Source organism: Homo sapiens, chromosome 1 (assembly GCF_000001405.40).
Source record: "Homo sapiens chromosome 1, GRCh38.p14 Primary Assembly".
NCBI lineage: Eukaryota > Metazoa > Chordata > Mammalia > Primates > Hominidae > Homo > Homo sapiens.
The window spans coordinates 228,709,205-228,736,598 of record NC_000001.11 but is presented as its reverse complement, the minus strand read 5'-3'; the positions used below and the strand labels follow the sequence as shown (position 1 = coordinate 228,736,598).

At 42.3% G+C, this 27,394-nt stretch overlaps 1 protein-coding gene across 2 annotated transcripts in view; it reads right to left on the bottom strand.

Annotated features, from left to right (window-relative positions):
• RHOU (ras homolog family member U) overlaps positions 1 to 27,394 on the bottom strand; it is a 102,023-nt gene that overhangs the window by 10,071 nt on the left and 64,558 nt on the right. Inside the window, exon 1 of one of the 2 annotated variants that reach the window (NM_021205.6) lies at positions 595 to 1,120. The exons of the other annotated variant lie outside the window; for it this stretch is intronic. Within the exon in view, the coding sequence (NP_067028.1) occupies positions 595 to 856 (262 nt within the window). The 5' untranslated portion in view covers positions 857 to 1,120. Of the gene's footprint in view, positions 1 to 594; positions 1,121 to 27,394 lie in introns of those variants that run through there. 2 annotated transcript variants of the gene reach the window in all.

Here is a 27,394-nt window from a genome sequence, read left to right as displayed (position 1 = left end):
AAAGAAATGGTGTTTACTCTTCAGGTTTCATCCAAACCTAAGCCTTCACGAGGGCCGCTCGCGCTTTTTCACTAAATCAAGTGTTTTCCCGGCGTCTCCGCGGCTCTTTAAAGCGGAGACGCCCCTTGTGAGCTGAGCCGCCTAAAAGCAAAGGAGCGACGCTCAGGTAAAGGCACCTGCGCGTCACCTTCTGATTGAAACTCTGCAGCGGCGCCAGCGACGTCGCCCTCAGGAAACTTTGCTCTATGCAACAAACTGACCGGGCACCCTGAACTCAACCTGTTTCACTCCTACTTATCTGTTGCTTAAATTGTGAGATTTTTTTTTTTTTTTTTTTTGGCAAGGCTCTGACTGCCGCTCCGCCCTCCTCTCTCCAAGCCCACTCCGCCGTGGTCCTTTCGTGTTAGCTCCGCGCTTGCCCGGTCCCTGAGACTCAGGAAACGTCCTGCACTCCTCATTTGTCCGGCTTCCCAGCTGGAGCCGCGCCCGGGGCCCTGCAGCCCCCTTGGGAACCTCGCGACCCTCGCGCCACCTTCCTTCCCCTGGGTGGACCGCGGCCACGCGCCCCCGGCCCCGGCCCCCCGGCCAGCTCACCGGAGAAGTTGTCGAAGGCAGTAGGGATGTACTCGGTGGGGTAGCCGTTGGTGGTGTAGCTCACCACCAGGCTCGTCTTGCCCACCGCGCCGTCGCCGACCAGCACGCACTTGACGCCGCGCCCCTCGGCACCCCCCGCACGCCCCCGGCCCCCCGGCTCCCCAGGCCCGCGTCCCCCGCGTCCACCGCGCTCCCGACGCGGCGGCACCGGAGGCGCCTCGCAGCGGTCGGGGAACGCGGGGTCCCCCTGCTGCGGGGGCATCGATCCGCGAGCGCGGGCTTGCGGTCGCGGGCTAGCAGGGCCCGGCCCGACCGCCCCTCCGCCCCGGAGGGTTGCGGTAGGGAGGAGCTGTCACCGACAGCTGCGGGCGCGTCCCCGGCCCTGGAGAGTGGCGGTTCCGGGCCGCACGGCCAGTAGACAAAGGCGGCCAGGGAGGGTCGTGGCTCCGCGCTCCGGCGGCGCCAGCCGCTCTGCCCTGCGCTGTTGGAGGACAGCGGTCCGAGCGCCGTGGATCCCAAGCGCTCTGTCTCCGCCCGGCTTCCCGGCGACACGACGCGTGGGGGGCGGGCAGGCGGGCGGGCTGGCGGGGAGGGAAAAGAGGCGGGTCTGGCCGAGCGGCTCGGTCCCCGCGCCAAGACCACAGCGCCCCCCGCCTGCGCGCCGCGCGCCTGCACCCGCGCCCGAGGCGCCGCCGCGACCAGGCGGGGACTGCGAACACTGGCGCGGGAGGACCTGGAACACACGTTCCGGGGGACCCCGCGCACCCGGTCCGGGAAGCGACGCCCGAAGGAGCCGGGCCAGCCTCCGCAGCCTCCTCCCCAGCTCCCAAGAGGGTGACCACCGCGCGACTGGCCCGGGAGGTTCCGCTTTCTGGCGCCCACGCGAGCCAGGAAGCCTGAGCCGCCTCCTATTCACTCCGTGGAGCCCCCGGCTGGCCACGGCTCCACCCAGGGGGAAAAATGAAGTGTCCTGGAGGCCTGTCCTGCGAATGAGATTGAATTAACAGACAGCTTTTTTCCTTAAGTCTAACTGCAGCTGATCGTGTGATTTTTTCTCATTTTGAAGCAAAAGGATGCCAGCTCCATTGTGAATGCTCCTTTGACTTTGTCTTTCGGCATGCCGTGAACCTTTATACATGTATGCTCCAGAAATTTTTTTATACCCCCAATTCCTTCATTTACTTAAAGGTAATTCGGAGACATTAATATGTCTGAAAAAATATTCCGTTTCCCTTTGATTCATTTCTCTCTCTGCCTTCCTTCTACATGTGGTCAACAGTCTATTCAGAAAAAGGACGCCTCTTAGCCAAGTCAGAATACCAAGAGTCCTGGGGGTGTACAGCGTGGTGTGAGAAGGGCCACATATTATTAATACACATTGATACTAGTGGTAGTAAAAATAACAATAACAAATACTGAACTTTCATAATGTGTCAGATACTGTTGTAAGCACTCTTCAAGAACTAATTCTTTTAATCTTAACATTACTTACAGATGAGAACACCTGAGGCACAGAGATATTAAGTAACGTTTTGGGATTCCACAAGCTAGTAAGTGGCAATGCCAGGATCCAAACCCAAATAGTCTAGCCCCAGAGCCTGAGCTTCTAACCAAAATCCTGGAGGCAAAAATAAGTCAGTATGATAAACGTAATCTTGAACGTATGGCCATGGTCAGAATGCAGAGATGGATTTATCAAGAAGTTAGAAGCTTGAATCCAGGACCCCTGACTTGCAAAGGACACTTTCACATTGGAAGACCTAGCAATGTGTACACGTGGTAATATGTTTCTGTAAATTTTGAAAAAAAAAAAAGTATTTTAATCACCACCAGTTATGTTCACTGTCTTTTTAAACTGTAACTTACCCTCATATTGAGTGACTTTGAAGAGGCCATGAAGATTTTGGGGATCAGCCAAAGAAAGTGAAGTTGGGGAGACCCAAACAGGTTGTTTGGGTGTAATGGGATACAGAATCAGGATGAAGGTGAGATAAGGGGGATGTCAAGGATGCAAAATTTATGACAAATTGAGCATTCAGAGGCAATATCAAAAAACAACAAATTTAGAGGGCCCTTACTCTCAGGGTCAGGCAAGTGCCAATGTTAAGTTTTGAGCCTCAGGTACCTGACTTGCCTCTCCCTCGCCCTGGCTGTGATGACAGGATATATTTATGTGGTTTACAGTTCTCCTATGTAGATATGTTGTTGCTAGCCATCCAGGTATAGGAATGGCTACCACTGACATACCTATGACCCTCTGTGAGAGTCACATTGGTGCCCTTAACTGTCTTACTTTCCCCAACACTAGAAGGGTTCCAGTAGCAAGAGTAGCAGAGCTTGAGATGGGCAGAGCTGGAAGCTAGTCTGGCAATTCTTTCCATCATAAAGCACCTAATATCGGCTGGTGCGGTGGCTCACGCCTGTAATCCCAACACTTTGGGGGGCTGAAGCAGTCAGACCGGTTGAGGCCACGAGTTCGAGACCAGCTTGGCCAACATGGCGAAACCCTGTCTCTACCAAAAATAAAAAAATTAGCCAGGTGTGGTGACTCACACCTGTAATCCAAATACTCCAGAGGCTGAGGTAGGAGGATCACTTGAGCCTGGGAAGTCGAGGCTCCAGTGAGCCCTTGATCAACCAATATACTCTAGCCTGGGCGAGAGTGAGACACTGTCTCAAAAAGAAACAAACAGAAGAAAACACAACATTGTTAGAGAAGGTTTGGTTCTCTCTACTAAACCTGATCAAAACAGAAGTTGTCTGCTGTCAGAAATGTACCTGTACTCTAAATGCAGCAGATACACTTACAAATGCATCATACATTTTTGGAGAAAAATCACATGAAATGAATGATCTGAATTCCCATGTTTGTAAGGACATGAGGCTGTAGTAGTACAACAAAAAGCAAGTTCACCTGTGTGTGAAGTAACTTCCTATTGTTCTTATAGAAAATATCTTACAAAACTGAAGAAGTGATCAAAGGGTATGCAACTGAAAAATGAAAATAATGTCATAGAAGTGTGTCAAGCAGTTTATTAAAATGTCATGTCTTATGTATTTTGTTTAAGTTTATGGTGTTTGTTAGCCTTTTAAAATTTGTAACTTATTGTGATGCATTTCTCACTTTAAACATTTGTTTTTGTATCTAATTTTCTATTCTTAATTTTGTATTTTTTTTTCTTAATGAAGTCTCACAAATGTGATAAGCCTCAGGCCCTACAAAACTTGGCTTTGCCCCTCCATCTGGCCAGCTGTCAGTTTTTGTGTCCTGTGCGTCCCCCTCTTGCTTTTCCCCTTCTCATGCTGAATATCATCCCACGCCCACTCATTTGGGCCCGTTTTTCTGGACACAACTTAGTCAGCTCCCTGCATCCTTATCTAAAATGCCGGGAACTAATGTTTGCCCTATTCATGAGACTCTTCTGTAGGCAACATAGGAAATCAGACCCCACGCCAAACAGTTCGGTATTTCATCCAAGTCCAAAAGCAGAGAGATGACAGAATGCCTACCACTTTACCCCTTTACAGAATGCCTTTACTTTACCCCTTTTTACGTTGAACTGTCCCGCACCCACTCATTTGGGTCCATGTTTCTGGGCTCGACTTAATCAGTCCCCTACAGCCTTATCTAAAATGCTTGGAACTAATGCTACAAGAAGCCCTCCAAGGTGTGTGGGTTCAAGTTGTATGATATATTTGTTTGTTTATTTGCTTATTGTCTGTCTCCTCTTACAAGCTCCATGAAATCAGAAACTTAATGTTGCTCATTCCTATATCCCACACTTAGAAGCACGTGGGGCAAGTAGTAGGTGCTTAATAAATACTTAAGCAGTGGTAAATACGTAAGTGAAAGGAAAACATGTTTTGAACTTGACGGTTCTGCAAAAAAGAAAGAAAGAAAAGGAGAAGAATGTAAAACATGGACTCTCAAAACATGGACAGTTGTATTTTTATGCTTTTATAAAATATTTTTAGAATGAATGAAGGAAATTTGACCACTTCTTGCAGCTATTAATAGAAAACCATGTCTTTGCTCAGTTTTAAGACAAAAAATGCATTACACCTCATGTATTCCCATTTGTTTTTCACCAAGACAGTACAACGCCTTCATTGTGCAGTGGGCCTAGAAAATTCTGAAAACTGGGTGCAGAATTTCCGTTCTTAAGATCTTGTCTCTCTGAGGCCCTCCAGCCCAGCTGTGAGCATTCATCCCCCCTACCTACCCCCAACACCTCCTCCAGGACTTCCAGCAACCCACCCCTGGGTCCCCAACAACATGTCAGAGAAGGTGTCTTCTCCTCGAACTACAGGTCTGTAACCCCTTCCTCCTTCTTCCATGAACTTGCTCTTTCTCCGCTTAGGTGTCACCTCCTCCAAGGATGTTTATTTTTCTGCCTAATTTTCTATACTTAATTTTGTGTTCTTTTTCTTAATGAAGTCCTCAAAATGTGATAAGCTTCAGGCCCGACAAAACTTGGCTTTGCTTCTCCATCTGGCCATCTGTTCGTTTTTGTGTTCCATAGCCTCCCTCTCTTGCTTTACCCCTTTTTATGTTGAACTGTCCCACACCCACTCATTTGGGCCCATCTTTCTGGGCTCAACTGAATCAGTCCCCTACAGCCTTATCTAAAATGCTCAGAACTAACGCTTGCCCTATTCATAAGAATCTTCTACAGGCAACGTAGGAAAGCAGACCTCCACACCAAACAAATTGGTGTTTCATCCAAGTCCAGAAATGTTCCCTGACCCCTTATGTGGATATATTTGTGCTTGTCCCTATCACAGCCCTTATCTAGTGAAATCATCTACTGATTATACAACACCTACCCTTGCTCATAATCCCCTAAAAGGGAGGATCCCCAGTTCACAAAACTCTTCCCCTAGCACAGTATTAATACATTTTCTAGGATTTTTTCCATCAAGTTATTTTAACTGTTCCACTAGCAAATAATTAATAGTGAATTTGTAGTTTTTTACTAAAATGGTAAAAAGAAAAAAAGGTCCTAATAGACTTTCCACTGTGTACATGTCACTTTTGTATCTTTTGATATATTTAAGAAATAAATAAATTTTTATCTGCTCAACATATTCCTTGCCAGGTGTCATTGTCATCATCATATTAAATATAAAGCTGTTTTTCCTGCTATTGATAACATTTCACCATTTACTGAGTACCAAATCAGAACAGCACGGTTTTTTTGGATCTTTCATTTTAGCAGGTCATATAACTCTGTGTGTTCATTCACTCTTTAAATGGTAACCCTTTGCCTTGGACACATTAATCTGATTTCTTTCCTTCAGCAGTGCCCTAGTTTTTTCAATACCCTATAAGAGGACATCAGAAGAATATTTCTCTAGAACTGGAGACTCTAAGCTGGGTTGTCTATTGCCAGCATGGCTGTCTGCTCCCAGAATTTCCTTCTTTGTATGGTTCTCGGCTAAAGTTGTCCGGAGACATGATTCTCAGAATTGAGAAGACTGAAGGGAAGTGGAGGAGGGTCATATGGTCAAACATGCCAGTGGATGGACACAGCGGTGCCCAGCACATCCTCACTAGCCTCCTGCTTTGCAGTGATATCATCTCACTGCTGGCTCTGCTGACCCAGAGCAGCCTTCAGCCCTCACCCAGCCCCTGGGCCCCAAAGAGGCTGCAGTCCCTACACCTCATGCCTCAAGCTTCCCTTCCACAGCCTCCAAGGGCCATATCTGCATAACTTACTATTGGCTTTTCTCCAAGTTCCCACCAGTATCCTGCACAAGGGTTTCAGCTGGTCAGGGTTAGGCACTGTTTCCCTCTGAACTTCCCCAGCAATTCCCAAACTTGTGAAAGCTCTCCTTCCTTAACCCTGTACCTTGGAGTGGCTCTGATTTCCTGACTGGGCCCTGACCAATAGTTTCTTGTTTACCACTGGGGATGTCATCCTAGGAAAAAAAAATGACAAGGAAAATGTCTTGCCATGTTTCACTAGAAAAGATGGGGAAATCATATAAATGTCACCAAACCACCAAATGGGCCACCAGTGGCTCCTTTCAGGAATCACAAACATCAGTTAGTGTCATGGTAAGGGCTCAGACCACATGGTTGGTTGGATGTGCTGATACTAGTTTCCCTGCCTCCAGAAGTCCTTTTATCACCTGCCATCACCTTGTAGATAACTAGAATGGATAAATTAAGCTCTTCCATTGGTATCATGAAAGTTTAAGATGTAAAAATCAATCCTTAATTTTGATTGTAAAAATTATTTCTGAAACTGTTTATGTTGTTTTATACTAGTCAGATTAGGCTGTACTATGCTGCAATAATAAGTGAACTCAAAATTTCAATGTCTAGAAACATAGGAGTTAATTTTTTGGTCATGCAAAATTCACAGCAGATTTAGTAGCTCTCCAAGGCAGCTCCCTTTCAAGTGGAGACTCAGGGATGCAGTCTTCTTGCATCTTGTAACTATGCCACCTGTGACACTCATTTCTGTGTGTGCATACCCTGCATTTCTATACATGAACATGTGCATTCCTGTCTGTATATGTACCCGTGCATTTCTATGAGTGAACACATGGATTTCTGTGGGTGAACAAATGCGTATAATGGCAATTTTATAAGAGCTCAAAACTAAAAACCATATAAATGTCTAAAACAGTAAAATGGATGAGTTAATTTGGTAATTCATGATATACTACTATTCAGTCAAGAAAATGAGTGAACATACAGGAATGAATCTCATCAACTAAATGAGAGGTGAAAGAAATCAGACACAAAGGAGTATAAACTATCTTATTTGATTTATATAAAATTTAGAAATGGACAAAACTTGGCCAGGCACGGTGGCTCATGCTTGTAATCCCAGCACTTTGAGAGGCCCAGGCAGGTGGATCATGAGGTCAGGAGTTCGAGCACAGCCTGGCCAATATGGTGAAACTCCGACTCTACTGAAAATATAAAAATTAGCCCAGCGTGGTGGTGCATACCTGTAGCCCCAGCTACTTGGGAGACTAAGGTAGAAGAATCGCTTGAACCCGGGAGGCAGAGTTTGCAGTGAGGCAAGATCGTGCCACTGCACTCCAGCCTGGGCGACAGAGCGAGACTCTGTCTCCAAAAAAAAAAAAAGAAAAGAAAAGAAATTGACAAAACTCATCAGTGCTAGATGTCAGAGTAATTGGGGGCAATTGTTACATTCAGGAAGGAAAGGGGTCATGGGAAACTTCTGATGTTCAGGCAATTTCTTGATCTGAGTGGTGGTTTTATAGGTGTGCACTGTATAGTAATTATTGGCTATATATTTGTTTCATTCACTTTTGTGAATCATGCTATATTTTTAAATTTTAAAGATTAAACAAATTCAAACATATAAATCATATTAAACAGAACTCATGGTTATTTGCATTCCAAAGAACTGTTTGCTTTAGCTTAGCACAGTGCTAATCACATATTGTAAACTTTTTGAATTAAATAACACTCTAATAAAATTTAAATGTGATTTGAGTACCAAAATCCTATTTATACAAAGCTTTTCCAGGAACATGAAGTACTGCACATCATTTACATCTTTAATATTTATTTTTAATGGGGGTATCATCTTCCACCATGGCTATTTATAAGTGTTTTAATATTTTAACTAACTGAACTGGTTCTGCAGAATTATCACAAGAGATAAATGGCAATTTATATGCATCAGTTCTGGAAGAAAAATGAAAGCACCAGGGAGAGCCCTTAGAGGGATGGCAGGTAGATTTGCCTAGAGGAGAAAGGCTAGACTCGCTGCTAACGTGGAAAACAGATGCTGTTCTAGGCAGGCTGAGCTACACTGGTGGCACCTTTCCTGCATTAGTCTTGGTTTATTTTCCTCTGTTAAATCCCCTTCTCTGGGTCTTCTCAGCTGTTGCAACCCTGCCATTCCTCTTTGATGAGAAAGGCCATCTCCATTCCCTGGGACCTGGAGCTGCTATAGCAATCCCAATTGGTCTTCCCAGCTGTCTGACCCTCCCTTTGCACAGAAAAGCCTCCTTCCCAGACCTTCAGAGAAACTGATTCATTTCCAACTTCCCTCCCCAAACACACATCACAGAAACTTTCCCAAACGTTCCCCAGCTGCCCAAATTCTCAGAGATGATAAGAACTCATTAGAAACCCCTCTTAGCTATTGCAAAACTGTGATCTCCCCTAATTTTTCAGTCACCCTGAAGATAAGAACTAGCCATGTAATCATTTCTCAACCACCATAATCACCCTGGCCAGCAGTTCTAGAATCATGAGACTATCCTACTTCCCTCCAGAAACTGCAGCCCTCTCCCTTTTCTAGCTCTTCCAAGCTGAGCACATGAGCACTCCCCCAGTCCTACAATGGGAAGAAGAAAGGTATTTTCACATATTCTAGTAGTTGTCAAAATTCATTGCTGGGTTTGCAATAACAATATAAGACTCAGAATGAATGTATGGACTTCCAAATGCCATATAAATCTGCTTGTCAGTCTGAGAAGAAACGAGCCTGGGCAACATGGTAAAACCTCGTCTCTACAAAAAAATACAAAAATTAGCTGGGCATGGGGTCATGTGCCTGTGGTCCCAGCTACTCAGGAGGCTGAGGTGGGAGGATTACCTTAACCCAGGAGACAGAGAGGTTGCAGTGAGCTGAGATCGTGCCACTGTACTTCAGCCTGGGCAACAGAGTGAAACACTGTCCCAGAAAAAAAGAGAGAGAGAGAGAAGAAATGAGTGTCTACTGCATCAAGAGGACTGTTTTCTCTATCATATGCATCCCAGAAGAATGTATTGAAAGGTAAATACTTATGCTATGATTGAGATCATTAAAGGAATTTGATTTTAGAAGAGCAGAGGTGTAGTCATTAGCTACATTATTTAATGGACCTATCTGACTCATGAACTTAGTGTGAACAATAGTGATCAACACAGACATGCTTAGAGTGTCAAGGAGTTGACAATTCTTGTAAAAAAGAAGATACCTGTAAAATATCTGTAATGCAAGACAGTGTATGGTGAGGGCAAGGGGATGTGCAAAGTGCAACAGAAAGTCAGAAGATGCCTTAGCACAGACTTCTGGATGGGGATGCAATCAACCCTACTCTGACCAGGTGAGAAGACTTTAGCACAATCTTGGGTCCAAAAAGACCCTCCTCCCCCTCATCTTCCAGGTGATCACAAATCTACAACAAATTATAACCACATTGATTATACATGCATTGTCATATTTAGTCCTCACAAAATCTAAACCTGTGCTATTATTTCCCCAATTTTATAGATTAGAAGATGGCAGCTCAGAGAAATTGAGTTTCCTAACAGAATCAGGACTCAATCTCTAGAGCAGAGATTTTTTTTTTTTTTTTTGAGATGGAGTCTCACTGTCTTGGCCAGGCTGGATTGCAGTGGCACGATCTCAGCTCACTGCAACCTCTGGCTCCCAAGTTCAAGCAATTCTCCTGCCTCAGCTTCCTGAGTAGCTGCGATTACAGGCGCGTGCCACCACGCCTGGCTAATTTTTGTATTTTTAGTACGGACGGGGTTTCACCATGTCGATCAGGCTGAGTCTCGAACTCCTGACCTCATGATCCACCTGCCTCGGCCTCCCAAAGTGCTGGGATTATGGGCTTGAGCCACTGCGCCCGGCCTTAGAGCAGAGATTTTTACCATACCCTATAACCTTTCCATCAAACCATTAGACTTACACAAGACAACAGAGCAATGAAGTTGTTTTAAGAAGTTTGTACTGATAGGCTTTAGCAGCATGGTCACTGGACAGAACAACAGTAGCACCCTTGATCACTGATTCAGTCTGAGGTACACAGTACACATGAGTACGTACGGACCGGCAGTGAAAGACAAAGGAAACACTCCAAGGTTTTCCAGTGTATATTAGGAGAGGGGAGAAAAATAACAGTGTGCATAAATAATAAAACATAAGGAGGAAGGAGAAAAAAAGAGAGAAGAAACCCATGATAATTTGGAAGTTTTTAAAAGTTTTTAAAACTCCTCCTATTAGCTATTATTTATATTTATTAAGATAGTAAGAAGATTGTAAAGGTGACCTTAAGTAATTAAGAAGTAGAACATTTATCATACTCCATTGAAAGATCATTTTTATGCATGTGCCTGCTGATTTGAAATCATTTTTTTATCTACTCACTAAAGTAATTCTGTGAAGATTTATTGAGTCCCTTTATTAACTCCAAGACTCGTTAAACAATCAACTACTTTATGTTTAAAATTTGTTTTCTCCAATTCTAAAATTTTATTAATTCAGATGGCTTTGTAATTGGTCAAAATTTGAAAGTCTTAAATTGCATTAAAAATATTTTATAGTTGTGGCTGTCTATAGTCATGGATGGCAGCATCCTTAGGATTTCATTAGGCAAAGACCATGGAAAGGCCTGTCTAGATCTGAAGATGCTGCCATCGTTCTGCCCACGGTGCTCAGCCCCTGGGGAAGTGCTCTGTTCTTTGGCACTCTCACAGCCTTTGGATGGCGTCCCTTGTTGCTGCTCTAATGGGCTCTGTGAGCCACAGAGGCTCAAGGGAGATGCTCAGGGTTGCTCATCACTAGTCCCTTTGAGAGGCTGCAGAAGCTCAGGGCCACAGCCCCCAGGATTGCAGCATCCACACGGCCATCCGTGTTCTGGAACTGAATCCCAGACCTCTGTACCTCTAAAGGACAGCAGGAAATGAGCTTTGGGAACCACTGAGTAAAAAATTCCTCTGGGCTATTCCTTCCTAGGAATATAGAGGAAGCCCAAATGTTCTTGGGCTCAAGTTCCTGTAAATTTTGAAACTCTGCCCTTTGGGACTCCAGGGTGCAGAGTGAATTCCTGCACATATTCCAAGAAGACAACTTCAAATTAATTAATCTGAAATAACTCAGAAGATGAGTATGAACAGCAGGAAGGATTTTGTTGAATAAAAAATACCAATTTTCTTTTCCTTTTGTTCCTATTACTGTAGTCTTGACAGAAAAATAAAATAAAATAAATAAATGTCAGAGAAAGACTGCCAGGCAAGAAAGAAGTCAAGGACAAATAAGTGACTTTGTTCTGTTCTGGGAAAGAAAATGAAGCAGATCAATTTGTGTTGAAGGCCTTCTGTGTATCAGTGGGTGTCTTTACTATCAATGGGTGTCTTTACTATCTATAAGGGTGGAGACTCACATAATGAAAGAGCACCCATGCCACACCTATTTAGCATAAGGAAAACCTTCACCTTACTATAGGCCAGAACTTCAAAAGCAACACTTACTGGATACAACCTTTTCAGGGTACAAAATTTCAATTAGGCAGGAGGAATAAGTTTTGGAGATCTATCATACAGCTTGGTGACTATAGTTAATAATCATGTATTGTATACTTGAAAATGGCTAAAAGAGTAGCTCTTAAATGTTCTCACCTCGCTGGGCCTGGTGACTCATGCCTGTAATTCCAGCACTTTGGGAGGCTGAGGTGGGAGGATCACTTGAGCCCATGAGTTGGGGACTAGCCAAGGCAACATAGCAAGACTCCATCTCTACAAAAAAAATTCTTACCAAAAAGAAAGATAAGTATGTGAGGTGATGAGTATGTTAATTAGCTTGACAATAATGATTGTGGTAATCATGTCATTTGTAAACATATATCAAGCCATTGCATTGTACATTATAAATAGATAGGATTTTTTATTTATCAGTTATACCTGAATAAATCTGGGGGGGAACACAAGAAATTTTTCAAGCCACTATGGGTTTACCCTTTCTTCTCAGACAGTAGGACTTTTCCAACTAAATAAGATAGATTGTGTAGCAGGATTTGCATTGATTTGCTCATTCAGCAAATATTTATTAAGCACCCACTACATGTGAGGCCGAGAGTAGTTGGGGATACGTCAGTGAGCACACAGACACTCCACGAAGCTGATGTTTCAGTGCAACACTCAAAATAAATAAATGATGTAACATGTTCCAGGATGACTGTCACAGAGACGAAAAAAAACAGGCAGGAAGGTGCACATGGAAGGCCTCATGCAGGCCATATTTGAGCAAAGACTTTGAAAGATGTAAGAGAGCAAGTCCCGTGGATGTCTAAGAAACAGCGTTCCAGGCAAATGGACCATCAAGGGCAAAAACAGCAATTGACTGTCTCCGTGTTGGAGAAGCAGCAAGGAGCCTAGTGAACCTAAGGCAGGAGGTGAGGCCATAGAAGAAAGGAAAAAAGGCAAAAATACATGTAGGTCAACGTAAAGATGGTGTAAATTCTGCAGAAGCCTGGGAGCCATTGGAATATGTGGTAGGAGTTATTAAGAAATTATTTCAGGCAGAAAGGAAAAGTTTTCATTTCTTTTACGGCAGCTCCAAAGACCTTTTTTGTAAAGGCCCCACTCGTAAAGCCCCGGCTCTTAGCTCTTAGAGCCTGACGGCAACCTTTGATATGCAAATGCAGGCCATTAGAAACTGGGTCCACCCAAACATGGCAATTCCCACAGCCTCCTTGCCCTTGCCCCACATGTGCCTGGCAACATGGCCACCCCCACATATCCTCACGTGTGTAGAACATCATGGTGCCCTGCATTTGCATATTAAAAGACTAGGGGAGGAGGGCTAGTTTCTTCAGGGGCTGCGTGAATGACATGCCGGGTCAAACCAACCCTGAGCCCTATGCAAATCAGACACTGCTTCCTCCAGCCTCTGTATATACCTGGCTGGTTTCCACCCCACTTGGGGTCTCCTCTCCTGGCTTTGGAGCCCCCTCCCTCTGTCTCTGTACTTCTTCCTTCTGTCTTCCTTCTTTCTTGCCTATTAAACCCTCCACTCCTTAAAACCACTCCAAGAGTGTTCATGTCATTTTATCGAAACTGGCATGAGGACCAAGAACACTGGTGTTCCTCCACTCATCGGAGTGGTATCAAATAGAGCTGAGTAGTAGCATCATCTAACTCAGGCTGCCAGATAGAAAGAGATAACTAGGGAGAGGGGAATGGGGAGAGGGGCTGGGACCAGGAGTAGCAGAGGCGGTGGTGCAAAGAGGTTGGGTTTTGAATATGCCTTTAAGGTAGACGCAGCATGATCTACCTGGAGCATTGGGTCTTGAGTTTACATGTATAAGAGAAGGCCGGGGCCGGGAATGGTGGCTCATGCCTGTAATCCCAGCACTTTGGGAGGCCGAGGCGGGCAGATCACGAAGTCAGGAGATCGAGACCATCCTGGCCAACGTGGTGAAACCCCGTCTCTACCAAAAATAGAAAAATTAGCCAGGCTTGGTGGCACATGCCTGTAGTCTCAGCTACTGGGTAGGCTGAGGCAGGAGAATCGCTTGAACCTGGGAGGCAGAGGTTGCAGTGAGCTGAGATCGCGCCACTGCACTCCGGCCTGCTGATAGAGCGAGACTCCATCTCAAAAAAAAAAAAAGGAGGTCAGGATAACTCCATGGATGGTCTGACAAACCGAACTTATCATTGACTGAGAAAAGGAAGATTCCAGCAAATGGCAGGTTTGGGGAGAAAGATTAGGAATTCAGTTTGTACATACGAAGTTTGAGTTGCCTGGGAGATGTCCAAGAGGAAATATTGGGCCGGCAATTGAACGTACAACTCTGGAGTTCCAAGGGAGGTGCTGGTGAGAGGTGTAAGTTCAGAGTTTCATCAGCAACGAAGGATGAGAGGGCCTGGGAGGGGGTGAAGACCAAGGAAAGAAGAGGCCCAAAGACTGAGCTCTGAGGACTCCCTTGTTAAAGGAAAAGAACAGACATTTTAAGAGCTAGAAAGTATTAAGTAAAGCCAAATATCAGACACTGGGAAGGAAGAAATAGAAAAGCTATCTGCCAAAAACTCTGCCTATAGGAATAAGAGCTTATCTATACAGGTACCTAGCACCTTACCACAGTTAGCCATGTACCCCATCTGAACTTGAAACAATTCTTGTTTCCTTTGTTTACAGTGTGGCCAGTAAAAAATCTGACATGGCACTGTAGCCACCCTATTGTAAGGGCACCAGGCTCTGCCTATTTGCCAAAGAATTGTTTCGTTAGTTTCTGGTGCTGGGTTGGATTTCAGTGAAAGAAGTCGCAACTACGGTGGAAAACAAAGGCCGGGTGTGGTGGCTCACGCCTGTAATCCCAGCAATTTGGGAGGCTGAGGCAGGTGGATCACCTGAGGTCAGGGTTCGAGGCCAGCCTGGCCAACATGGTGAAGCCCCATCTCTACTAAAAATACAAAATACAAAATTAGTGCATGCCTGTAATCCCAGCTACTTAGGAGGCTGAGGGAGGAGAATCTCTTGAACCCGGGTGGCGGAGGTTGCAGTGAGCCGAGATCCCGCCATTGCCCTCCAGCTTGGGCAACCAGAGCGAAACTCCGTCTCAAGACAAAACAAAACAAAACCAAAGTCTGGGTAGTCATGGGGTTGTGTCCTCAGGACACAGCTCTGAACCAAACAGTCCGGTTTTCTTTGTCCAGCACACCCACTGGATCTGGTTGTGTCGGTAAACAGACTGCCTGGAGTTAGTTTTGCCTGATAAGGCGCACGTGTGTTCCAAGCTTACTAGAACAAAAGGGACAAGGGCTTGGCTTTGACTAATAATGAAACTGTAGTCATCTATTTCCTTTTAAAAAATATTAAAATATCTTGTTTCTGCTTTAGAAAGAAAAATATTCTCGAGTCCTCTAAATCATGAGTGAAGCTCTTGTAGTTACTGTTTCAAAAGACAAGGCGACGAATTCTATTTTTTATTTTTATTTTTTGCGATGGAATCTGTGTTGCCCAGGCTGGAGTGCGGTGGCACCATCTCGGCTCACTGCAACCTTCGCCTCCCAGGTTCAAGTGATTCTCCTGCTTCAGCCTCCCGAGTGGCTGGGATTACAGGCACCTGCCACCACGCCAGGCTAATTTTTCTATTTTTAGTAGAGACAGGGTTTCACCATGTTGGCCAGGCTGGTCTCAAACTCCTGACCTCAAGTGATCCACCCACCTAGACCTCCCAAAGTGCTGGGATTACAGGCGTGAGCCACCGTGCCCCCAAGGCGATAAATTCTAAGCCAACAGTGGGAGTTCAGAGGCCAGAAATGAGCAGGGAGGCAACTGCTGTGCAAACCTGGGAAGGCTGTGGAGATTTCTTTAGGGGAAAGCGCTGGTTAATATTTATTATTTCCCTGGAACATCTGGTAGGGGTGCGGGGCCAGGGGTGGGAGATGACTTCGTGGTCAGAGGGGCCTACATGTGATCCTGATAGTGCCACCTGCCTGTGCAAGTCATTTTATTTATCTGACCTCAAATCCCCTCATCTGTAAAATTAGTTTGCTAGGGCCACAGTAACAAAGCACTGTAGATTGGGTGGTTCTTAAACCACAGAAATTTATTTTCTCACAGTTTTGGAGTCCAGAATTCTGAGATCAGTATTTCGGCAGGGCTGGTTTCTCCTGAGGCCTCTGTCCTTGTCTTCATCTTCTTCTCACGTCTTCACAGGGTCCTTCCTTTGTATGTGTCTGTGTGCTAGTTTCCTCTTCTCATGAGGACACCAGTCATATTGGATCAGGGCCCACCCTAATGACCATTTTAACTGCCTCTTTAAAAACACTGTTTCCAAATAAAGTCACATTCTGAGGTATTGGGGGTTAGGACTTCAACATATGAATTTTGGGGAGACAAAATTTATATATTTTGGATATATGAATTCAAATTTCAGCTCATAACCATGTAGATAATCTTACTTGTACTTCTTCTATGCTTATGCTATGATAGTATGTATTATGTATGGAAAATTACATGATAATCAATTTTCTGTTGTTTTAAAATGTTTGTTGTTTGTACACACACAAAAAACTGTGCTGAAGTGCCCATAATCTAATAGGAGTCCTTTTTTTTCTTTTAATTTTCTGTAGAGACGGGGTCTCGCTATGTTGCCCAGGCTGGTATCAAACTCCTGGCCTCAAGTGATCCTCCTGCTTTAGCCTCCAAAGTTGCTCGGATTATGGACATGAGCCACCTTGCCTGGCTTCTAATAGGAATTCTTATGATTATACTGTGAGACCAAATATAAATGTTCATAAAAGGGTGCTTATGTCTAACTTTTTTAAAAGATACGGCGATATTTTAATGTAATTTTCTTGGATTATTTTAGGTCTGCTTGGGAGCAATGATAGTATTCTCAAAAGAAGTAATAACCAGTGCAGGTCAGGAGAGAAAGCTACTGAATTAAGAAAAGATAAATTATTTAAAGGTAAATCAAAAGGACTGGCCAACCTGAATTCAGTTGCAGTTTTATCATTTTTTTTGTTGTTGTTGTTTGCTTGTATGTTTTTTGTTTTGTTTTAAGACAGAGTCATGTTCTGTCGCCCGGGCTGGAGTGCAGTGGTGTGATCCCAGCTCACTGCAAACTCCACCCCCAGGGTTCAAGTGATCCTCCCTCCTTAGCCTCCCAAGTAGCTGGGATTACAAGTGTGCACCACCATGCCCGGCTAATTTTTATATTTTTAGTAGAGGTGGGGTTTCACCATGTTGGCCAGGCTGGTCTCGAACTCCAGACCTCAAGTGATTCACCAACCTCAGCTTTCCAAAGTGCGGGGACTACAGGCGTGAGCCACCACACCCAGCCCAATTATTAATTGTGTGATTTTGAGCCTCAGTAAATATTAGTTCCCTTTTCCTTGATTAGTGTGATAATATACTCCAGAAACAGAATAGTGTGCTAATGACTTTTGGAAAACACACGATTTTATAAATTGAAAATCCAACAGTTTTTATTGTTTCTTTAGAGAATCAAGGCACAAAGTAAATGATCAATAAACATTGGATGAATGCATGGATTGATGAATACATGGATTGATCAACCAATGGATAGATAGGAAAGCAAAATGATACAGGAATATAGAAGGATGTTTTTCTAAGTCTCACTTGATCTGAACTGTAACCAAATATTGACATGGCTGGTGAAGCCATCAGGATACTCCACTCCTCCTCCTTCTACTCTCATATACCCCCTCCAACATAGGTGCTGTAGAATAGATGCCATTAAAGGGCTTTCTAAAATTAAATTTCAAACCTTTTAGACGATATATTCTGTTTTAAAGCCATACTTCCTTTTGATCTCTCAACTGGCTGATTTGAGTTGGTGCTGACACCAGATTTAGTTCACTCCCTCTCAAAACCTGCTTCCCTGCCTAGTAAGAGATGCACTCCCTCCTGCAGTGAGCATCCAGGGTCACCCGCAGTGGACATTCCCAGTTCATGTTCTGGCGGAAGTGTTTATAGCAGTCTACAACCAACCTGGTCCTCCTGGTTCACACCTTAGACTCTAGGCTTCTGGATGAGAAAGACAGTTTTCTAAGTTCTCTCACATAGTCTGCATCTGAGCTTTAAACCACCTTGTACTTATTCTGCATATGCTTCCCTCCTTTCAGAAAGTTCCCTAAGACTCTGGGCCTCTACTTGTCTAATACTTGTTTCAACCCATTTCTTTATCCTGTTGATAAAGGCAGTTTTGATGCTTACTGAAGCTCAGCTTTTTCTACACTCTTCTAGACTGGCAAAGGGCATATCTAAGACAGCCCCAATAATCCTGCCTCCTGGAATTCATGAGTCTCATGAGTCAGAACCACCCAATTAAACTGCTCCCCAATTCCTAACTCACATAAACTTGTTGTTTTCAGCCATTATATTCTGGGCTAATTTTTTAGGTGGCAATAGATAACTAATATACTTCCCAAGCTGTCCAAACCTTAATTGTAGATTCCATCTGTCCTTAAAACTTATTTGCATCATCCTACCATCTTCCCAGCATGGCTACAAGCAAACTTCTTGATTCTCCCTATTTCAAAGCTGTTCTTTCTCCTAAGCCCATTCACTGGAAAGCAATGGATGCATCTTTTTTGGAGGACGTAGGGGAACTCAGGGTATCACCACTTCCTGTCACCTCCCCAGGTTCTCATTATGATCTCTAATTTAAGTGTCCCCAAGGAAATGGTCTTTTGGAATCCTATTTTTAAATACTGAGTTATCTATCTTTACTATGTAGAATAAGAACAGACATAATGTTCTCAAAGGAGGTCAGCCCAGATGAAATGATTGATACATATGTCCTATCCTTTATATTCAGACATGACACTACCCTGCTGGTCCAATGTGTTAATGGAGGGCATGGAATTACCCGAATTTTTTATTGTGTCCAGTTCTTCTGATCTTGAATTAACTTTTTAAATGACTGGCTGGATTCATGGGAGCTGTCCATGGAACAGTTCCTGTGTCCAGAAACACATAACTGGATTAGGTTGAGAAGGAAGTAGGGCGCCACTCTCATTAACTGAAATGACTGGCCACCAATAAAATATCTGTTTATGGTAAGATCATTCCACTAAAGCTGACTCTCAACTTTTTCCTACATCAAGATGTCAGAGAGCATGCCTCCGGCATAACTCAGTAACAGTATTTCACCTTGGCATTGATGTTTTGTAATGATGAGGTAAGTTGGAGTGGTAAGTGATAAATATGGCTTTCTCCTCCCCATCCTACCTATCCCTCTCCAGAGTAGAACTAAACATATTCTAAGGAGGTGTGTGTAGATCACAAATTACTTAGATATTCTCCCTAACATCTGAGAATGTTTACACTAAAGTGATACTAACATACCACAGGGCCCAAGAGGATGAGAGGTCATTTCAGTTCTAGAGAATCTGTTGCTTATGAATAGTTTGTGTTATAAGACTTTCTGGCTTTATCCTTGTAAAATGCTTTGTACTTCTTGGTAGCCAGGAGATTGATGCATGATGTTATTACAGAAGCAAACAGAGCAGTTCCAGGCATCCATTCAAAGTAGATATATCAAATAGGCATTTTGGACAGTTTGAAAGATCTCAAATTCTTTGTTCTTCCAAAAATCCTCCCAGTGAAAGGAAATGCTTTTGTTTCAGTGGCCCGAAAAGACTAACTCTTGACTTCAGTTCCTTCCAGCCCTGTCATCTGCACTGATAGCAAGGCCTCACCACAGCCTTCCTAATGGACAGCAGCCAGTGTCATTTCAGGATGCCCACAAGAGTGCCACCTGGTTCCAAACTTTCTAATCCCTGGAGAGGAAAATAAAAATGAACTCTCTTTGTCAAAGGTGAAAATGAGAACTGGAATTTTTCCTGAATAGGAAATGAAGTGCTCTCTATTTCTTAGTGACAGTTCGTCATGATGGATTTCAGACTGTGCCTGGGTGAGAAAAAATTCATAGTCAAACTGAAAAAAACATATTTTTTGATGCGTGATTGTGACCAGTTTCCAATAATCTGGAATATACATACATATACACACACATGTGTGTGTATATGTATATATACACACACACATAACATACATAAAATAAAATAATAAATACAGACAGATGTAGATTCATTTAATATATACTTACTGAATGTCAACTATGTTGTGACCACTGTAATAAGTGCTGGGATTTGAACAGTACACAAAACAAACACCATCCATTTTCTCATGAAGCTTATAGGTGATAAGCAGACGATATTAAACTATAATGTGTGTAAAATGTTAGGAAAGGACAATAAATGGTGATGGTGAGCTGCCTGAGGGAAGTCCCTTGCTTTATTTTCACAACTTCTTCCTCAGTACTTGGAATCATGCCTGGCACATCATAGGAACTTAACATATATAGAATGATTTAATGAGTGTATATATTAATTATGAGAAAGATAAGACAGAGACAACTTGAGTTGTGGGATGCCACAGTGGACCCCAGTGGGAAAGATAAGCAGGAATTATCCACAGGAAGGGGGCAAGGTGTGGGGAAGCATTCCAGAGAGAAAGTAAAGCGGGCTTTTTTAAAACAATGTCCACCTGGAGTGGTGGCTGACGCCTGTAATCCCAACACTTTGGAAGACCAATGCAGGAGGATCGCTTGAGCCTAGGAGTTCAAGACCACCCTGGGCAACAAAGCAAGGCCCCTATATTTACAAAAAAGATTTTTGTTAATGAGCTGAGTGTGGTGGTGCACACCTGTAGTCCCAGCTACTTGGGAGTCTGCTGTGGGAAGATTGCTTGAGCCTAAGATGTTGACTGCAGTGAATCATGATCATGCCACTGCACTCCAGGCTGAGTGACAGAGTGAGACCTTGTCTCAAAAAAAAAAAAAAAAAGTTCATACTTTTTAAAACTAAAAGTCACAAATCACAATGAAGCTATTTCTATCATGAATCACATCAAATAATGCAAAAAAAAATCCACCACAATTATAAAATAATAATCACAAGAGATGCCAAGAAACAGATAAAAACACATTACTAATGGGAGATTAGTAATTCCCCCTGGGAATAAGACAGAGCTAGTGAACTAAAATGAAGATATAGAACTAAAATGAAGATATAGAAGAACTAAACACTATAATCAATACGGTACATCTTAAGAATGTATATGAAAGTTTTCAGCCTGACAATAGAAAATACAATTTCTTCTCAAGGTACAAGGATCATTCCCAAAATTGATTATATGTCAGGTCATAAAGAAAATATCAGTAAGTTCCATAAAGTATAAATATTACCGAATATTCTACCAATATTACCAAATATTCCATCAAAACAAATTTTTGTTCACAGTGTAATAAAACTAGAAATTATTGACAACAAAAGCAGCAAAAAAAGCCCATTTCACCTAGAAATGTAAAAGCTTTCTCTAAGGACTCTTGGATGAAAAGAGAAAGATAAAATGAAATTATAAAATTTCTAAAACATATTGATAATTAAAACACAGTGTATCAGAATATATGAGATATTTGAAATATGATTATTTAAAGCAGTAACCATAGGGAAATTCATAGCCTTAATCACATTTACCAATAAAAATCAAAGATTTTAAATAAATGAATTAAATTCCCAGCTCAGAAAGCCAGAAAAAAAAAGAAAGAAAACACAACAAAAGAAAAATTGAAGCTAAAAGAAATTAGTGTGACAGGAAAAAAAAAATAGATCTAGTTAGATCTATTTCAAATCAAATTCCTGGTGTTTAAAGTTAATTGGCCAGGCGCGGTGGCTCACGCCTGTAATCCCAGCACTTTGGGAGGCTGAGGCAGGCAGATCACGAAGTCAGGAGTTTGAGACCAGCTTGGCCAACATAGTGAAATCCCGTCTCTTCTAAAAATACAAAAATTAGCCAGGTGTGGTGGCATGTGCCTGTAGTCTCAGCTACTCAGGAGGCTGAGGCAGAAGAATCGCTTGAACCCGGGAGGCGGAGGTTGCAGTGAGCTGAGACCACGCCATTGCACTCCAGCCTGGGTGACAGAGTGAGACTCCATCTCAAAAAAAAAAAAAAAAAAAAAGATAATTAACAAAATAAACAAGCCATTAGCTAACTTAAGAAAAAAAAGAAGAAGGAATTCAAAAATACAAAATAAGAAATAAGGAGAAATAACTATTGAAACAAGAGAAAATAAATCACAAGAGGCTATTTTGAAAACTGTGCAAATAAATTTGAAAAATTAGGTGAAATGGATAACGTCCTGAGGAAATACAGTTAGCCAAAATTGACTTGTTGAAATTTACATAGCTTAAACAGATTAGTATCTATAGAATATGTGGAGGAAGTTATCAAGGAACTATCCTCCAAAATGCACGAGACCTAGATCATTTCAGAGAGAAATTCTACCAAAACTTCAAAGATAAGGTAATCTCTACATTGTTCCGGAGCAAATGAAGGATATTTTCCTAATTATTTTTGTGAAGCAAGTATAATATTGATTCCTGAACTTGTTACAGAGCAGAAAAAAATAAAATTACAAACCAATATTATGTATGAAAATTGATGCAAAATTTTAAAATAAACTGTTTATAAACAGAATTCAACACCGCATTAAGAAAATAATACACCATGGCCAAGTGGCAATTATTCCAGCAATTCAAAGTTGATTTGCTGAAAACCCAGCAAATTAGGAATATTAGGAAACCCATTAATGCAATTAATACACCATATTAGTAGATTTGAGGAGAAAAATCATGTAATTGTCTCCATAGAGGCTATAAAACCTTTTATAATATTTAACATCTTCTGAGAGTACAAAAAACTCAAACTGGTCTTCCTCCACTCTCATACTACAATCAACACAGAAGACTTCCATGACCAAATGTGTGGGGATTTCTCCACACAGCAAGCAAGCAATCAAATCTACAGCAGACACAAGCTGAGTATGCTTCAATTCAGTTCTAACAGCATCCACCTGGAGATAGGGTCAGATCCCACAGTTGGGTCAGTTCTATAAGACTGCTCCCACTTCCAATGCCAGTAGCAAGCCCCAGGTTGTTTTGCCCATGCTTCTAACTGACTGACTATAAAACAGGCATCGTATGACCTCTCCTTGGGTTTGATTAATTTGCTAGAGTGGCTCATAGAACTTACTTATGTTTTTCCAGTTTATTATAAAGAATATTACAGGCTGGGCGTGGTGGCTCACACCTGTAAATCCCAGCACTTTGGGAGGCCGAGGTGGGAGGATTGCTTGAGGCCAACAGTTTGAGATCAGCCTAGACAACATAGTGAGAACCCCTATCTCTACAAAAAGTAGAAATAAAAAAATTAGCCGAGTGTGTTGGTGCATGCCAAAAACAAAAAAAGGATAGTACAAAGAATTACAGAATGGCAAGGGGAGCAGAGCTTCCATGCCTTCCCTGGGCACTGAAACCGCCACATATTCAGCTATCCACAAGATATCTGAACCCAGTCCCTTTGGAGTTTTATGGAGGCTTTATTACATAGGCATGATTGATTAAACCACTGGCCACTGGTGATCAACTCAACCTTCAGCATCTCCCCTCCCTGGAGATTGGGCAGTGGGGCTGAAAATCCCAACTCTCTAATCCTGCATTGGTCTTTTTGGTGACCAGCCCCCACCTGAAGCTACCTAGGAGTTGCCTGCCATCAGTCAACCCAATAGCATAAAAAAGACACATCACTTTGGAAATTCCAAGAATTTTAGAAGTTGTATGCCAGGAAATGGGTCAAACACCAAATATGTACCTTAAAATATCACAACATTCATCATCCATTCCTGGTTAAAAAAAAAAGGAAGAAAAAAGAAATTAATCGATACCTTTATATATATATAGTCAGACTCAGATATCCGACTAGGTCAGGCAGACCCTGGCAGTATATGGCAACATTGCAGGAGATGCAAACTCCAGCTTTGGGTATTTTATTTTATTTTATTTTATTTTATTTTATTTTATTTTATTTTATTTATTTATTTATTTATTATTATTATACTTTAAGTTTTAGGGTACATGTGCACAATGTGCAGGTTAGTTACATATGTATGCATGTGCCATGGTGGTGCGCTGCACCCACTAACTCGTCATCTAGCATTAGGTATATCTCCCAATGCTATCCCTCCCCCCTCCCCCCACCCTACAACAGTCCCCAGAGTGTGATGTTCCCCTTCCTGTGTCCATGTGTTCTCATTGTTCAACTCCCACCCATGAGTGAGAATATGCGGTTTTTGGTTTTTTGTTCTTGCGATAGTTTACTGAGAATGATGATTTCCAATTTCATGCATGTCCCTACAAAGGACATGAACTCATCATTTTGTATGGCTGAATAGTATTCCATGGTGTATATGTGCCACATTTTCTTAATCCAGTCTATCATTGTTGGACGTGTGGGTTGGTTCCAAGTCTTTGCTATTGTGAATAATGCCGCAATAAACATACATGTGCATGTGTCTTTATAGCAGCATGATTTATAGTCCTTTGGGTATATACCCAGTAATGGGATGGCTGGGTCAAATGGTATTTCTAGTTCTAGATCCCTGAGGAATCGCCACACTGACTTCCACAATGGTTGAACTAGTTTACAGTCCCACCAACAGTGTAAAAGTGTTCCTATTTCTCCATATCCTCTCCAGCACCTGTTATTTCCTGACTTTTTAATGATTGCCATTCTAACTGGTGTGAAATGGTATCTCATTGTGGTTTTGATTTGCATTTCTCTGATGGCCAGTGATGGTGAGCATTTTTTCATGTGTTTTTTGGCTGCATAAATGTCTTCTTTTGAGAAGTGTCTGTTCATGTCCTTTGCCCACTTTTTGATGGGGTTGTTTGTTTTTTTCTTGTAAATTTGTTTGAGTTCATTGTAGATTCTGGATATTAGCCCTTTGTCAGATGAGTAGGTTGTGAAAATTTTCTCCCATTTTGTAGGTTGCCTGTTCACTCTGATGGTAGTTTCTTTTGCTGTGCAGAAGCTCTTTAGTTTAATTAGATCCCATTTGTCAATTTTGGCTTTTGTTGCCATTGCTTTTGGTGTTTTAGACATGAAGTCCTTGCCCATGCCTATGTCCTGAATGGTAATGCCTAGGTTTTCTTCTAGGGTTTTTATGGTTTTAGGTCTAACGTTTAAGTCTTTAACCCATCTTGAATTAATTTTTGTATAAGGTGTAAGGAAAGGATCCAGTTTCAGCTTTCTACATATGGCTAGCCAGTTTTCCCAGCACCATTTATTAAATAGGGAATCCTTTCCCCATTGCTTGTTTTTGTCAGGTTTGTCACAGATCAGATAGTTGTAGATATGCGGCGTTATTTCTGAGGGCTCTGTTCTGTTCCATTGATCTATATCTCTGTTTTGGTACCAGTACCATGCTTTTTTGGTTATTGTAGCCTTGTAGTATAGTTTGAAGTCAAGTAGTGTGACGCCTCCAGCTTTGTTCTTTTGGCTTAGGATTGACTTGGCGATGCGGGCTCTTTTTTGGTTCCATATGAACTTTAAAGTAGTTTTTTCCAATTCTGTGAAGAAAGTCATTGGTAGCTTGATGGGGATGGCACTGAATCTGTAAATTACCTTGGGCAGTATGGCCATTTTCACGATATTGATTCTTCCTACCCATGAGCATGGAATGTTCTTCCATTTGTTTGTATCCTCTTTTATTTCCTTGAGCAGTGGTTTTTAGTTCTCCTTGAAGAGGTCCTTCACATCCCTTGTAAGTTGGATTTCTAGGTATTTTATTCTCTTTGAAGCAATTGTGAATGGGAGTTCACTCATGATTTGGCTCTCTGTTTGTCTGTTGGTGTATAAGAATGCTTGTGATTTTTGTACATTGATTTTGTATCCTGAGACTTTGCTGAAGTTGCTTATCAGCTTAAGGAGATTTTGGGCTGAGACAATGGGGTTTTCTAGATATACAATCATGTCGTCTGCAAACAGGTACAATTTGACTTCCTCTTTTCCTAATTGAATGCCCTTTATTTCCTTCTCCTGCCTCATTGCCCTGGCCAGAACTTCCAACACTATGTTGAATAGGAGTGGTGAGAGAGGGCATCCCTGTCTTGTGCCAGTTTTCAAAGGGAATGCTTCCAGTTTTTGCCCATTCAGTATGATATTGGCTGTGGGTTTGTCATAGATAGCTCTTATTATTTTGAGATATGTCCCATCAATACCTAATTTATTGAGAGTTTTTAGCATGAAGGGTTGTTGAATTTTGTCAAAGGCCTTTTCTGCATCTGTTGAGATAATCATGTGGTTTTTATCTTTGGTTCTGTTTATATGCTGGATTACATTTATTGATTTGCGTATATTGAACCAGGCTTGCATCCCAGGGATGAAGCCCACTTGATCATGGTGGATAAGCTTTTTGATGTGCTGCTGGATTCAGTTTGCCAGTATTTTATTGAGGATTTTTGCATCAATGTTCATCAAGGATATTGGTCTAAAATTCTCTTTTTTGGTTGTGTCTCTGCCCGGCTTTGGTATCAGGATGATGCTGGCCTCATAAAATGAGTTAGGGAGGATTTACTCTTTTTCTATTGAGTGGAATAGTTTCAAAAGGAATGGTACCAGTTCCTCCTTGTACCTGTGGTAGAATTTGGCTGTGAATCCATCTGGTCCTGGACTCTTTTTGGTTGGTAAGCTATTGATTATTGCCACAATTTCAGCTCCTATTATTGGTCTATTCAGAGATTCAACTTCTTCCTGGTTTAGTCCTGGGAGAGTGTATATGTCAAGGAATTTATCCATTTCTTCTAGATTTTCTAGTTTATTTGCATAGAGGTGTTTGTAGTATTCTCTTATGGTAGTTTGTATTTCTGTGGAATTGGTGGTGATATCCCCTTTATCATTTTTTATTGCTCCTATTTGATTCTTCTCTCTTTTTTTCTTTATTAGTCTTGCTAGCGGTCTATCAATTTTGTTGATCCTTTCAAAAAACCAGCTCCTGGATTCGTTAATTTTTTGAAGGGTTTTTTGTGTCTCTATTTCCTTCAGTTCTGCTCTGATCTTAGTTATTTCTTGCCTTCTGCTAGCTTTTGAATATGTTTGCTCTTGCTTTTCTAGTTCTTTTAATTGTGATGTTAGGGTGTCAATTTTGGATCTTTCCTGCTTTCTCTTGTGGGCATTTAGTGCTATAAATTTCCCTCTACACACTGCTTTGAATGTGTCCCAGAGATTCTGGTATGTTGTGTCTTTGTTCTCGTTGGTTTCAAAGAACATCTTTATTTCTGCCTTCATTTCGTTATGTACCCAGTAGTCATTCAGGAGCAGGTTGTTCAGTTTCCATGTAGTTGAGTGGTTTTGAGTGAGATTCTTAATCCTGAGTTCCAGTTTGATTGCACTGTGGTCTGAGAGATAGTTTGTTATAATTTCTGTTCTTTTACATTTGCTGAGGAGAGCTTTACTTCCAACTATGTGGTCAATTTTGGAATAGGTGTGGTGTGGTGCTGAAAAAAATGTATATTCTGTTGATTTGGGGTGGAGAGTTCTGTAGATGTCTATTAGGTCTGCTTGGTGCAGAGCTGAGTTCAATTCCTGGGTATCCTTGTTGACTTTCTGTCTCGTTGATCTGTCTAATGTTGACAGTGGGGTGTTAAAGTCTCCCATTA